At 41.6% G+C, this 15,568-nt stretch overlaps 1 long non-coding RNA gene across 3 annotated transcripts in view; it reads left to right on the plus strand.

The window, feature by feature from the left end:
• The window catches only part of LOC102723786 (uncharacterized), a 21,164-nt gene extending 6,624 nt beyond the window's left edge, over positions 1-14,540 (plus strand). The window contains exons 2-4 of one of the 3 annotated variants that reach the window (XR_933707.3): positions 6,160-6,372; positions 7,226-7,343; positions 14,412-14,540. This is a non-coding gene — a long non-coding RNA (uncharacterized LOC102723786). Of the gene's footprint in view, positions 1-1,555; positions 1,628-6,159; positions 6,373-7,225; positions 7,445-14,411 lie in introns of those variants that run through there. The other 2 variants (XR_933708.2, XR_429763.4) reach the window with 2 other exon arrangements.
• Positions 14,541-15,568: the final 1,028 nt, after the last annotated feature.

The following is a 15,568-nucleotide window of genomic DNA, read 5'->3' on the forward strand; positions in this document are numbered from 1 at the left end:
AAGAAAATGTGGCACATATACACCATGGAATACTATGCAGCCATAAAAAATGATGAGTTCATGTCCTTTGTAGGGACATGGATGAAGCTGGAAACCATCATTCTCAGCAAACTATCACAAGGACAAAAAACCAAACACCACATGTTCTCACTCATAGGTGGGAATTGAACAATGAGAACACATGGACACAGGAAGGGGAACGTCACACACTGGGGCCTGTTGTGGGGTGGGGGGAGTGGGGAGGGATAGCATTAGGAGATATACCTAATGTTAAATGACGAGATAATGGGTGCAGCACACCAGCATGGCACATGTATACATATGTAACAAACCTGCACGTTGTGCACATGTACCCTAAAACTTAAAGTATAATTAAAAAAAAAGAAAATGTGCTTAAGAAGGCAGTAGCTGAAAATGGAAAGAAAGAAAAACACTATTTGCCGTCTTCAAAGAGTTTGATCAATGCTAAATTAAATAATGGAAAATCAAGTGCAAAATTTTTATCAAATACAACCAGTAGCATTTTTATAGAGTTTTTTTTTTGTAATGGGAAATTCAAAAACATAGATTCTAAAAACTAAAAAAAAAAAAAAAAAAAAAAAAAGACGGGATAAAAAATAAGATAGATTTCATTTCAGGGGCCAACTCCAACTGATTGGTGGTGGCTGCCCAGAAAGCTCTGTTGAGACACATTGTGAAGCCACATCTGGACTCAGCAGGGAGGGCAATGATCAGCTAGGGAGGTGTATCAAGGGCAGAGTGATAGAGTGGTATCCTATGTGTGTCCCATTGATATTTCACCTAATAGTTGTATAACCCTGGGCTAGGAAGACATCCCTCTCCCACCAGCTTGTATTGAGGATTACCAAATGAATGTAAAGTACTTAGACAGATTCTTGCACTTAGCCAGTATCTGATAAATGTTAGGCTCTGGAAAAATGTCTGTTCTTTTTTGGAAGATAGGGTGCTATATTTCTAAAATCAACCAGGAACACATTCCTTGTTCTCCTTCTACCTCTCTCACTGCTCCTTCTCAGTCTCCCTTCCCTTAGCCCTTCTATCTTAGTGCTTTCCAGAATTCTTCCTCTTTGATTCTCTTTGATCTTTACTTGTGCCACACTAATCACTGACTGGTTTCATTCTCAACCATAGCAACCTCATATGCCAATGATTCCTTCCCAGCCCCATCCAAGCCAGGTAAAATGCCTCCCCTTCATCTGCATAGCATGCACGTAGCATTGGACTCTAAGTATTCCAACTATTTGTTTATCCATCTATCTCTGCTACTAGACCATGGGCTTTCAAAGGACAAGGCTAGATCTTATTGATCTCTGCACTCCCAGCTTCTGGCACATAGTAGCAATCAATAAATGTTTGTGAAATGAAAGACTGATTTAATGAATGGTGTCCTTATTTTGCAGAAAAGGAAACAGACTCAGAAGTTGGATTTTTCTGAAGGTTGCCTTTTCTCCAAAACCTTCCCATCTTTCCTATAGAACAGGGATTGACAAAAATTCTCTGTAAAGGGCCGATAGTAAAACTTCTGTCTTTGCAGATCATAAGGTCTCTGTCACAACCACTCAACTCTGATGTAACTGTAAGGCAGCCATAGACAATGTGTAAACAGGTGGGTGTGGCTGAATTGCAATCAAACTTTACCGCAAAAACAGGCAGTGGGCTGGATTTGGCTGGTGGATCCTTATTTGTGGAAGCTTGCTGTAGAAGATGATAAATAGACACTCTTGCATGTCTAGTTTCTTTTTCTTTGTTGAACATTCTCTTGTTACCTAGCAAAAGCAGCTCAATGCTCAGTGTGTTAGAAGCCAATACTATGATACTGGGTGTTTGAGAAGAGAATGGCTTTTATTACAAGTTGACAAATGAGAAGAGAGGAGTCCAGCTCAAATCTGTCTTCCTGTGCTGGCTTCAAGGCAGTAATTGCATTAGAAACTGTTTGGGAGTGGATTCTGGGATTAGCCGCTGGTGATTGGTGGAAGGAAAGGGGAGGTCTGGAAGGTCCTTGGGCATGCACAGTTAATGCTTTATACTTCCTGATGGGAAAGTATGCAGCGGAAATTCAGGCTATGATGTCAGCAAGCTCAGTCCATTGCCATATTGGTTCCAACTGATTTCAGATAGTTTTATTATTTTATAAGTGGAGGAAGTTTCAGAGTTCTTTCTCCCCTCCTCCCCTCCTCCCCTCCTTTTTCCTCCCCTGCCTTCCTCTCCCCACCCTTCCCTGCCTTCCTCTCCCCACTCTCCCCTCTCTCCATCTCTCTTTTTCTCCTGGAAACCTTCCATCAACGTTTAGTCATGCATAGCTCTACCATCTTGAAAGTAAGTCTCTCCTCCTCCAATTGTTGCCCTTTCTCTCGCTCTACCTCCTTCACAGTCAAAGTTCTTGATAGGGTTCTGTGTTCACTGTCTCCAGTTCATCATTCCAATAATTTCTCAACTAATGACAAATCTCCTTCTCTTCCATTATATTCCTGAAACGTTCTCCTTGAAGATCCCAAATAACTTCCTATGGTGCTACATCCAACTCAGAATTCTTTGCTCTTTACTAAATCTCTGGCACTCATCAACCCTATTGAAATGAAACATTCTTTTCCGTGGTTCTTGTGACAACATGATCTCCTGATTTTACTCCTGTGGTCATTCTCCTTTAGGCTTCTTTGTTGGCTTTGTAGACCTACAAAGAAGCCTACAGAAGAATGACCATAGGAGGAAACCATGCCCCCAACACTCTGAAGATACAGATTTTTAACAACTAACTCTGCCTATTTGTTAAAAAACTGTATCTTCAGGGTTCTCTGCTAGGCCCTTGACTCTTAGTCTACATACTCCCCTAGGACATATCATCTCATCTCTAGGCCTTTTTTTTTTTTTTTTTTTTTGAGACAGGGTCTAGCTCTGTCGCCCAGGCTGGAGTGCAGTGGCTCGATCTCACCTTATTGCAACCTCCGCCTCCCAGGCTCAAGCGACCCCTCTTCAACCTCAGTCTTCCAAGTAGCTGAGACTACATGTGCACGCCACCATGCCCAGCTAATTTTTGTATTTTTTGTAGAGACAGGGTTTCGCCATATTGCCCAGGCTGCTCTTGAACTCCTAAGCTCGATACCCCTGCCTTGGCCCCCCAAAGTGCTAGGATTACAGCATAAATCACCTCACTGGGCCATCTCTAGGCAATTTTAAATCTAATGATGATCCTCAAGTTTATTTTTCCAACCCAGAGCTCATTACTGAGGCTAGAATCAGCTGGCCAATTGCCTAACAGAATTAGAAATCACCCCTCTTAACCTTACTCACCACATCCAGTTCCATCTTGAAAAAATAATTATCTTGGCCGGGCGTGGTGGCTCACACCTGTAATCTCAGCACTTTGGGAGGCCGAGGAGGGTGAATCATGAGGTCAGGAGATTGAGACCATCCTGGCTAACAGTGAAACCCGTCTCTACTGAAAATACAAAAAATTAGCTGGGCGTGGTGGCAGGCACCTGTAGCCCCAGCTACTCGGGAGGCTGAGGCAGGAGAATGGCGTGAACCCAGGAGGTGGAGCTTACAGTGAGCCAAGATAGTGCCACTGCACTCCAGCCTGGGCAACAGGGCAAGACTCCATCTCAAAAAAAAAAAAAAAAATTATCTCAACCTCACCACCCCAGCCAGCTTTCACCTATTTATCTGCCCCATTTGCAGCAAAACTTCTTGAAAAACTTGTCTATATTTACTGCTCCAATTCCTCTCCAACTCTTTCTCTTAAACTCCCTCCAAGCCGGCTTTCAACTCGACAGCTCCAGCTCCACTGAAACACTCTTGTCAAAGTCGCCCATGACTTCTGCATTGCTAAAAACAGTGGATAATCCTCAGATCTCATCTTACTTTGATCTTTCAGCCACAGTTGACACAGCTGATGGCATTTCTGCTTGATACCCATCCTTCACTTGGCCTTCCAGATACCACCCTCTTCTGGTTTTCTTCCTTCCTCACTGACTTTCCACCTCAGTCTTCTTTGCTCATTCCTCCTCCTCTTCCTGATTTCTTAATACTGGAGTGAACAAAGGCTTATTCCTTGGCCTTCTTGTCTACACCCTTTGAGTGATCTCATCCACTCTCAAGCCTTAAATACCACCTGTATGTCTATGACTCCCAAATGTGTATCTTCATCCCAGACCTGTCTTCCAACTTCTAGTCTCTTAGATCCAACTGCCTATTCAACATCTCCACTGGGATGCCTTGTAAGCTTCTCAGATGGAGTTAAAATTGAATTTCAGTTCCAAACACCTCTTCCACCCATAGCCTCCCACAGTCAACTGTTTGGGACTGGAATGAGATGGTAACTCATTCTCCAAGTTGTGCAAATGCAAATCTTTTTATCATCATATATAAAAGTTGATTCCCTTTGAATCCTTTAGTAAGAGGACTCTATGGTTTTTCTATTTATGCTTTTTTCAAGAGGGTTCATAGATGCCAAGTTTAAATAGGGCAAGTTTAAAATGTCTCCTATTGGCCAGGCATGGTGGCTCACACCTACAATCCCAGCACTTTGGGAGACCGTGGTGGGAGGATAGCTTAAGCTCAGGAGTTTGAGACCAGCCTGGGCAACATAGTGAGACCTCATCTCTAGAAAAAATAAACAAAATTAAACAGGCATGGTGGTGCGTGCCTGTAGTCCCAGCTACTCAGGAGGCTGAGGTGAGAATATTGCTTGAGCCCTGGAGGTCAAGGCTGCGATGAGCTATGAACATGCCACTGCATTCTAGCCCGGATGACAGAGCGAGACTCTGCCTTAAAAAATAAAAATAAATGTCTTCTATTGCCTTTATCCCCAAAGGACATTTATACTTTCTTTCCCCCACAGGTTTGCAGAAGTTGCTCCAAGATTGCCTGGGAATGAGTGTTGCATTCATTCTTCTTTCTTTGGCTTCTCCGTTTGTCTTTTGGTTTGTTGAATTTCATGACTGAAGTATTTGGGTTTTGTTTGGTTTTGGTTTTGGCTCTTGTCTTATTGAATTCATGTTTTTAACAATTTCCTCTGCAGCTTGAAGCAATTGCAAGAAACTTTTCCTAGGTTCCTTGGGTTATTGTTTCTTGCAGTCTTTCCTCTGTTTTATGCCTGCCATGCTTATTTAAGTCTTTGCTTTCATTGTATTCTTCTGCAAAATGCTTGCTTAGTAACCATATTGCTTCTTTTCATCTTGCTCATGCTTCAAGCAGACAGCTCTGTCCAGTTCTTCTTTTGGCTCTGACAAAAAGAAGAGTAATTATCAGTGAAACCCTCCCAACCTTACCTGGGGTCTTTTTTCCCTTCCAGATACTATTTTAATGCAAGGGGACAGGAACTTGGAAAAAGCTTGGCAAACTTTCTGCAGCCTTTGGTATAGTACTGGGCTTACCCTCTCTTCTAAGGTTTTGGTAATGTCCAGTTTGGGGTACTCCCTTTCTCCCTCTTCTCATGGAGTGGGAGTATTCTCAGACTTCAGATCAGTCCCCGGATTCAGCACGGGGTCCTGGGAGATGGTAACACTTTGGGGCTTTTCCTGGCTCAACTTGTATTGAGCCAGGAAATATTGAAACCACACATAGGAGCCTCTGCACTTAAGAAGATTTCTTTGACTTTTTTCTAAGCCCCCTATTCCCAACTTTGTCTGCTTCTATCCAAATCGGGGGTATTTGGTGAGAATTTTCAAGGTTTTGAGACTCACTTACTTTTGTATCATTCTGTAGGAAGAGGGGCTACATTAAGTCACACTAAAATCTCCTGCTTTTCTTCTTGTTGGATACTTTTCAGTTTATAGCAAGAGGATCGCCTCTTTCCTTGTGTACTTGTTACTGGTAATTTTTTTAATTGGTTTATTTCATTGAGGATTGGAGGAGGGTGATTCTGGAAGCAAAAACAAATATAGATAGATAGATAGATAGATAGATAGATAGATAGATAGATAGACAGACAGATAGATATACCGTCAATTTTTTTCTAGCATCCTTAGGGACAGGGTTGGCGTGAGGGAGATGAAATGCAGTGACCCCCACCAGACCCCAGAAGCACCCAGCTTCATGGCAGAGACAGTCTGTCCTCAGGGGGCTTGGCATTTTTTTTGTAAAGGGTACCTGCCCACCATACTTCTCATTCAATCTTTCTGCTGCCCTTTGTTTTCTCAGCAAGGAGTAATGCTGCTTTTCACACAGAAAGGGCTTCTACTGTGCCTGACCTTAAGACAGGAAAAGTAGGGGAGCTAAGGAAGCTACCTACACCGCCCTCACCCCCAGTAGCCAGGCTCAGGAAGGAAGAGGCACAGCGGTGTGAATGGATGGAGAAGAGGAGGCTGGTAGGCTGAGCCCCTGGCTCCTGGAACGAACACACAGCCATGGCAGGTAGGAAATCTGGGCTCCAACAGTGGCCCTGGGCTGGAGCAGTGAAAGGATGAAGGTGAGGTGCGGTTGGGGATCTGCAAATCTAGCCTCTCTCACTACTAAACAAGGTTTACAGTTCCCAGTGGTAGAAAGACCACATCTCAAGGAGGAATGAAAACACAGGAACTGAGCATTTGTGCTTGGAATTAATAAGCAAATCCCATCAAACCCTTGACATCATGGATTTTGGCCTCAGAAGGCAGAAACCTTGAAAGTTCCAGTGACAACCCCTGTGCCCCTCATCTTCAGGCTCGTCTCTCTGGTGGATTGCCACCTGCACAGCGCCCTGGCATTTCCATGCACAAAATAATTGGCTGCAGAAAGTTGTCAGATGCCTTGCTGTGGGAGGAAACTACAAAAACAAACTTTATTCCATCAACTCAAATTGTTTTTTTATATTTCAAATCTGAGAGCACTGGTTCAATTTCTATTTGTCTTCTCCATGATATGCAATTGTCCTTTGCTGTATGACCAAAATGAGTTAAATGAAAATAGTTCTGTATATTTAGTAGTTAAATAGCCATTTGCTTCAAGATTTTTGGATATTTTATGTTTCTTTCCATATCATTTCTGTAAAGAGCATAAAATTCTCCAGATTTCTTTGAAGATGGCACTGAGGCACCAATGACCCAAATATGTAGGGTTAGAAGAGCTGTGACAGCTCACTAACAATAGCTAAACTTTACTGATATTGCTAATATTCATTTTAATTAGTCAATATTAATATACCTAAACTAAGTGGAAGCACTGGGTTTATATTATCTCATTTAGTCCTCACAGCAACCATATTGTTATTATTATCTCTATTTTACAGAGGAGAATGTGGCTTGAATAGGTTCCATGACTTGTACAAGACCACAGCTGGTACATGATGAAGCAAGGACAAGACACGGGCATCTGACCTCAAGAGTCTCTCCAATCATGAAATACCTGTATGAGTTATCTATTGCTGCATAACAAATTGCCCCAATATTTAGCAGCTTAGGAGCAGGATTGCTGGAATGGTGGGATAAAACTTAGTGGCTTAAAACAACATCTGTTATCTCACAGTTTCTGTGGGTCAGGAATCTGTGCATGGCTTAGCAGGGTGACTCTACCTCACCGTCTCTCATGAGGCTACTATCAAGGTGACAGGCAAGGCTGCAGCCATCTCAAGGCTGGACTGGGGAAGGGTCCACTCCCATTCTCTCTCTTTGGTTGTTAGCAGGATTTAGTCCCTCACTGGCACTAGGCCAGAGGCCACCCTCTGTCCCTTGCCACATGGACCACTCCCCAGGGCACACACAGCAGCTTGCTTTCTCAGAGCAAGTGAACAAGAAGAACCAGAGAGAAAGAGTGTGCAAAATGGAAGTCATGGTCTTTTGTAACCTAATTTTGGAAGTGACAGCTCCTTACTATTGGCAGAGTTGATTCATTAGAAGTGAGCCACCAGGTCCAGCCCTTACTCAAGGGGTAGTGATTACACAGAGGTGTCGATACCAGTAGGTCGGGATCATTGGGAGGCATTTCAGAAGCCGCCTACCACCGCGCCTTTCTCAGACAACTGCCCACCCCATCACTCCCAGGGGCAGGCTAAATGGTGTGCTTGTGTTCTGTGACTGTGACCCCCCACCGCCCCCAGCCACAGCTGACTGGACCAGAGACGGACACCTGATCCAAACTAGGCCAATTAGATTCTCTCCCCCAGGAATTCTGAATTGCAATTCAGAGACCCTGGTTGGTTTCTGCTAGAGGTTTGAAATGAAATAATTGGGAGCTTTGGGACAGCCATTTTCTGCTGTGTTCAAAAATAAGTAGAGATGGCTGGATAGGAGTGTGAGAGAGAGAGAGAGGCATAGAGACAGAGAGGATGGTTGTGGTTCCTCCCCTGGGTTTGGAAAGGTACAATAAAAACTAGGTTTCTGTCACATGCAACCAGCGGTGATATTTCCATTTTTTTTTTGAATCAGTAATTTTGCCCCAGGAGAGATTTTGAATTGAAGTATATAGTATATGTTACTTTTTTAACTAAAGGAAAAACAGAATATATATATATATATATATATATATATATGCAATGATAATTCTTTTTTCAAAGCTTTAGATGAATTAATGTTAACATTTAACAACCAATAAGGTCCAAATACCAACCAATCCAGAAGGAGCCCAATCCAGAAGGAGCTCACCATAAATAGCTGGTGTGGTCCCACTGCTGAATGCTGGGTACCCACCAGCTGTCTGCCATCTCAAGGCCACTGCAATCTGGCCTCGACCACACTGCAGCCCGAAGGCAGGCAGGCTGGGGAAAGGTGGGGCCTGAGAACCTCAGATCACCAGCAGTGAGTCATGGTGGCGTAGCACAGAAACCTCTGTATGATTGCAGATTTGCTCTGTAACCCACTGGGGTGTCAGTATCTGTGGCAGACAACTCACAGTGGAGGCTTTTGAGACAATGTCCAGTGCTTTTCTGGCTCACTCACTGTGATTCCCGGAAGAACACACACGAGTATCCTAGACAGGGATGAAAAGCCTACATCTGATATGAGTGAGAAGAGGCTGGAAAGAGCCACCTCTGGGTGGTGGGATTTAAGAAACTTGCCACTTCCTCTAAAACAGGACCTGCAACCTGGGTCTGTGGATAGTAAAGCCCTTGATCTTTTTTTTTTTTTAATTATACTTTAAGTTCTAGGGTACATGTGCACATTGTGCAGATTTGTTACATATGTGTACATGTGCCATGTTGGTGTGCTGCACCCATTAACTCGTCATTTACATTAGGTACGTCTCCTAATGCTATGCCTCCCCACTCCCCCCACCCCACAACAGGCCCGGGTGTGTGATGTTCCCCTTCCTGTGTGAACAATGAGTCCAAGTGTTCTCAATGTTCAATTCCCACCTATGAGTGAGAACATGTGGTGTTTGGTTTTTTGTCCTTGCGATAGTTTGCTGAGAATGATGGTTTCTAGCCTCATCCATGTCCCTACAAAGGACATGAACTCATCCTTTTTTATGGCTGCATAGTATTCCATGGTGTATATATGCCATATTTACTTAATCCAGTCTATTGCTGATGGACATTTGGGTTGGTTCCAAGTCTTTGCTATTGTGAATAGTGCCGCAATAGACATACGTGTGCATGTGTCTTTATAGCAGCATGATTTATAATCCTTTGGGCATATACCCAGTAATGGGATGGCTGGGTCAAATGGTATTTCTAGTTCTAGACCCTTGAGGAATCGCCACACTGTCTCCCACAATGGTTGAACTAGTTTACAGTCCCACCAACAGTGTAAAATTGTTCCTATTTCTCCACATCCTCTCCAGCACCTGTTGTTTCCTGACTTTTTAATGATTGCCATTCTAACTGGTGTGAGGTGGTATCTTATTGTGGTTTTGACTTGCATTTCTCTGATGGTCAGTGATGATGAGCATTTTTTCATGTGTCTGTTGGCTGCATAAATATCTCTTTTGAGAAGTGTCTGTTCATATCCTTCGCCCACTTCTTGATGGGGTTGTTTTTTTCTTGTAAATTTGATTGAGTTCTTTGTAGATTCTGGATATTACCCTTTCTCAGATGAGTAGATTGCAAAAATTTTCTTCCATTCTGTAGATTGCCTGTTAACTCTGGTAGTTTCTTTTGCTGTGCAGAAGCTCTTTAGTTTAATTAGATACCATTTGTCAATTTTGACCTTTTGTTGCCATTGCTTTTGGTGTTTTAGACATGAAGTCCTTGCCCATGCCTATGTCCTGAATGGTATTGCCTAGGTTTTCTTCTAGGGTTTTTATGGTTTTAGGTCTAACATGTAAGTCTTTAATCCATCTTGAATTAATTTTTGTATAAGGTGTAAGGAAGGGATCCAGTTTCAGCTTTCTACATATGGCTAGCCAGTTTTCCCAGCACCATTTATTAAATAGGGAATCCTTTCCCCATTTCTTGTTTTTGTCAGGTTTGTCAAAGATGAGATGGTTGTAGATGTGTGGTATTATTTCTGAGGGCTCCGTTCTGTTCCATTGGTCTATATCTCTGTTTTGGTACCAGTGCCATGCTGTTTTGGTTACTGTAGCCTTGTAGTATAGTTTGAAGTCAGGTAGCATGATGCCTCCGGCTTTGTTCTTTTGGCTTAGGATTGTCTTGGCAATGCAAGCTCTTTTTTGGTTCCATATGAACTTTAAAGTAGTTTTTTCCAATTCTGTGAAGAAAGTCATTCGTAGCTTGATGGGGATAGCACTGAATCTATAAATTACCTTGGACAGTATGGCCATTTTCACGATACTGATTATTCCTATCCATGAGCATGGAATGTTCTTCTCTTTGTTTGTGTCCTCTTTTATTTCGTTGAGCAGTGGTTTGAAGTTGTCCTTGAAGAGGTCCTTCACATCCCTTGGAAGTTGGATTCCTAGGTATTTTATTCTCTTTGAAGCAATTGTGAATGGGAGTTCACTCATGATTTGGCTCTCTGTTTGTCTGTTATTGGTGTATAAGACTGCTTGTGATATTTGCACATTGATTTTGTATCCTGAGAGTTTGCTGAAGTTGCTTATCAGCTTAAGGAGATTTTGGCCTGAGACGATGGGGTTTTCTAAATATATAATCATGTCATCTGCAAACAGGGACAATTTGACTTCCTCTTTTCCTAATTGAATATCCTTTATTTCTTTCTCCTGCCTGATTGCCCTGGCCAGAACTTCCAACACTATGTTGAATAGGAGTGGTGAGAGAGGGCATCGCTGTCTTGTGCCAGTTTTCAAAGGGAATGCTTCCAGTTTTTGCCCCTTCAGTATGATATTGGCTGTGGGTTTGTCATAAATAGCTCTTATTATTTTGAGATATGTCCCATCAATACCTAATTTATTGAGAGTTTTTAGCATGAAGGGCTGTTGAATTTTATCAAAGGCCTTTTCTGCACCTATTGAGATAATCATGTGGTTTTTGTCATTGGTTCTGTTTATATGCTGGATTACGTTTATTGATTTGCATATGTTGAACCAGCCTTGCATCCCAGGGATGAAGCCCACTTGATCATGGTGGATAAGCTTTTTGATGTGCTGCTGGATTTGGTTTGCCAGTATTTTATTGAGGATTTTTGCATCAATGTTCATCAGGGATATTGGTCTAAAATTCTCTTTTTTTGTCGTGTCTCTGCCAGGCTTTGGTATCAGGATGATGCTGGCCTCATAAAATGAGTTAGGGAGGATTCCCTCTTTTTCTATTGATTGGAATAGTTTCAGAAGGAATGGTACCAGCTCCTCCTTGTACCTCTGATAGAAATCGGCTGTGAATCCATCTGGTCTTGGACTTTTTTTGGTTGGTAGGCTCTTAATTATTGCCTCAATTTCAGAACCTGTTATTGGTCTATTCAGAGATTCAACTTCTTCCTGGTTTAGTCTTGGGAGGGTGTAAGTGTCCAGGAATTTATCCGTTTCTTCTAGATTTTCTAGTTTATTTGCGTAGAAGTATTTATAGTATTCTCTGATGTTAGTTTGTAATTCTGTGGGATCGGTGGTGATATCCCCTTTATCATTTTTTATTGCGTCTATTTGATTCTTCTCTCTTTTCTTCTTTATTAGTCTTGCTAGCAGTCTATCAATTTCATTGATCTTTTCAAAAAACCACCTCCTGTATTCATTGGTTTGTTGAAGGGTTTTTTGTGTCTCTATTTCCTTCAGTTCTGCTCTCATCTTAGTTATTTCTTGCCTTCTGATAGCTTTTGAATGTGTTTGCTCTTGCTTCTCTAGTTCTTTTAATTGTGATGTTAGGGTGTCAATTTTAGATCTTTCCTGCTTTCTCTTGTGGGCATTTAGTGCTATAAATTTCCCTCTACACACTGCTTTAAATGTGTCCCAGAGATTCTGGTATGTTGTGTCTTTGTTCTCATTGGTTTCAAAGAACATCTTTATTTCTACCTTCATTTCATTATGTACCCAGTAGTCATTCAGGAGCAGGTTGTTCAGTTTCCATGTAGTTGAGCAGTTTTGAGTGAGTTTCTTAATCCTGAGTTCTAGTTTGATTGCACTGTGGTCTGAGAGACAGTTTGTTATAACTTCTGTTCTTTACATTTGCTGAGGAGTGCTTTACTTCCAACTATGTGGTCAATTTTGGAATAAGTGCAATGTGGTGCTGAGAAGAATGTATATTCTGTTGATTTGGGGTTGGAGAGTTCTGTAGATGTCTATTAGGTCTGCTTGGTGCAGAGGTGAGTTCAATCCATAATTATCAGATTCACCAAAGTTGAAATGAAGGAAAAAATGTTAAGGGCAGCCAGAGAGAAAGGTCGGGTTACCCACAAAGGGAAGCCCATCAGACTAACAGCAGATCTCTTGGCAGAAACTCTGCAAGTCAGAAGAGAGTGGGGGCCAATATTCAACATTCTTAAAGAAAGGAATTTTCAACCCAGAATTTCATATCCAGCCAAACTAAGCTTCAAAAGTGAAGGAGAAATAAAATCCTTTACAGACAAGCAAATGCTGAGAGATTTTGTCACCACCAGGCCCACCCTACAAGAGTTCCTGAAGGAAGCACTAAACATGGAGAGGAATAACTGGTACCAGCCACTGCAAAAACATGCCAATTGTAAAGAGCATTGAGGCTAGGAAGAAACTGCATCAACTAATGAGCAAAATAACCAGCTAACATCATAATGACACGATCAAATTCACACATAACAATATTAACCTTAAGTGTAAAAGGGCTAAATTCTCCAATTAAAAGATGCAGACTGGCAAATTGGATAAAGAGTCAAGACCCATCAGTGTGCTGTATTCAGGAAACCCATCTCATGTGCAGAGACACACATAGGCTCAAAATAAAGGGATGGAGGAAGATCTACCAAGCAAATGGAAAACAAAAAAAGGCAGGGGTTGCAATCCTAGTCTCTGATAAAACAGACTTTAAACCAACAAACATCAAGAGAGACAAAGAAGGCCATTACATAATGGTAAAGGGATCAATTCAACAAGAAGAGCTAACCATCCTAAATATATATGCACCCAATACAGGAGCACCCAGATTCATAAAGCAAGTCCTTAGATACTTACAAAGAGACTTAGACTCCCACACAATAATAATGGAAGACTTTAACACCCCACTGTCAACATTAGACAGATCAATGAGACAGAAAGTTAAAAAGGATATCCAGGAAAATCCCTTGATCTTAAGTGCAACATCCACAAGCATGTAGCTAACACCAGATAGGACAGGATAGGCATCCAAAGACAGAACCAAGATAAGACAAAAAAGTGCAAGAGCCAGTGTTTGGGGACAGGGTCAAGTTTATTTTTACCTTTTTTTTTTTTTTAATTAACTGAGAATCAACAAAATCAGTGAGTGTTCACACAGCATAATTCTGTCCGGGAAAGAGGAGTTGACACAGCATTCCTCTGTAAACTGGAGAATTTCTCCATGACTCCTATCTGCTCCCCAGTTTCTCTTCTCCATGAGGAATAAACACCATGTACAATCTGAAAGCTGGTAAGGGACTGATCCTTGAAGTGTCATCCTGAATTTGAATTAAACCTAAGTCTAGTTTCCTTTTGAGATCTCCTGATGAGTTAAACCTTTACACAAGAGCTACCTAGTCGGATGATTTTTTTCTCACCTGAGCTATTGTGGATAATTGCTCTGCTTCCTTGTTCAACAAAATATAAGGTAAATCATTACCACTCACAACCCGAAGAGATTTATGCCATCGTCTAACAGAAGAGCACAGTGTGCACGTTTCTTTTCTAAGAAAATTAAGTTGACCTCAATGCAGTGGAGTTTGATTTTCATAATTATAAGTCATAACTCACAATTCAAATTTTTTTGAATCAGCATTTTTGCCCTAGGAGAAATTTTGGATTCAGGTATATAGTATACGTTACGTTTTTAATTAAAGAAAGAAGGAAATATGTATATATGTTGGAATATATATATATAGCAACATATATGTTACTTTTTTAATTAAAGAAAGAAGGAAATATATATATATATACACACATACATATACAATATATGTGTAATTGTAATTCTTCTTTTTTCAAAGCTTTAAATGCATTAATTGCAAAATTCTATCCTGGATTATCAACTGGATCTTCAGCAAACACATGGTGGTGTGTAGAGATGTTCTTTGAAGATTTAATTCATCACTGTTAATAAAAATGTTTAACCTTTACAGAGTGCTCACTATGTGCCAGGCACCATGCTAAACACTCTACATAGATTATCCCATGTAATCCCCACCACTATTCTTCCCATCAACTATTATCATCCCCACTTTGCAGAAGACGAGATCGAGGCATACAGCAGTTCCCAAATTTGGTCAAAGGTGGAGCAGGCATTTGGAATCAGCACTGTCTTATTCCAGTGTTTACTCTGAATCATCATGCACCTATCATTAAACTTGAGACTTTAAAAATATCACTACTGACTTAAGTATTTAGTAATATAGCTAATACGTTGGTCACTTTTCAGATAGTCCTAGCCAGCATTTCCCCCTCCTTCAATGAAACGCTGTAAAACTTTAAGTAGTGGATCATTAGCTATTGCTGTGAAACAGACTCTCTCAAAAGTAGGTGGCATCAAACAATAAGTATTTATGATTGTTCCCAAGTCGGTATGGGTCAGCTGAGAAGTTCTTCTGGTGGCAGGTGGACCTACTCATGTACCTGGGTCAGCTGTGGTCAGGTGGCAGTTCTGCTGATGTTAGCTGGGCTCTCCCACATGACTGGAAGTCCAGTGTCTGAGCCTGGTCCAATAATAACCTCAGTTAGGAAACTGGACTCGCTCTGCTCCATGTCACTCTCATCCTCCACTAGGGTAGCCTGGGCTTTTCCCTACAGTGGTGGCAATGTTTCAAGAGCAAGCAAGAGAAAACAGAAGAGTTCAAGGATACTGGAAGCCAGGCTTGAAACTATCACAGAGTCCCTTTAGCCAAAGTCACTTTGGCATTCCATTGGCCAAAGCAAGACCCAAGTCCAGTTTGGACTCAGAGTGGGCAGAGACTAGAAGGTCCCATAGCAAAGGGTAGCTACAAGCAGGCATTAACCAAGACCATCAATATAATCAATCTTTCACACAGAGTAGCTATGAAAACAGTCAGTTTCTTATTTTGATACTAATAGCAATATTGATTGAATGCAGAGTATGTGCAGGACTCCATCAAAACTGCTCTGTGAGATCAACACTGTTACAATCACCCCT

This window comes from Homo sapiens, chromosome 16, assembly GCF_000001405.40.
Source record: "Homo sapiens chromosome 16, GRCh38.p14 Primary Assembly".
NCBI lineage: Eukaryota > Metazoa > Chordata > Mammalia > Primates > Hominidae > Homo > Homo sapiens.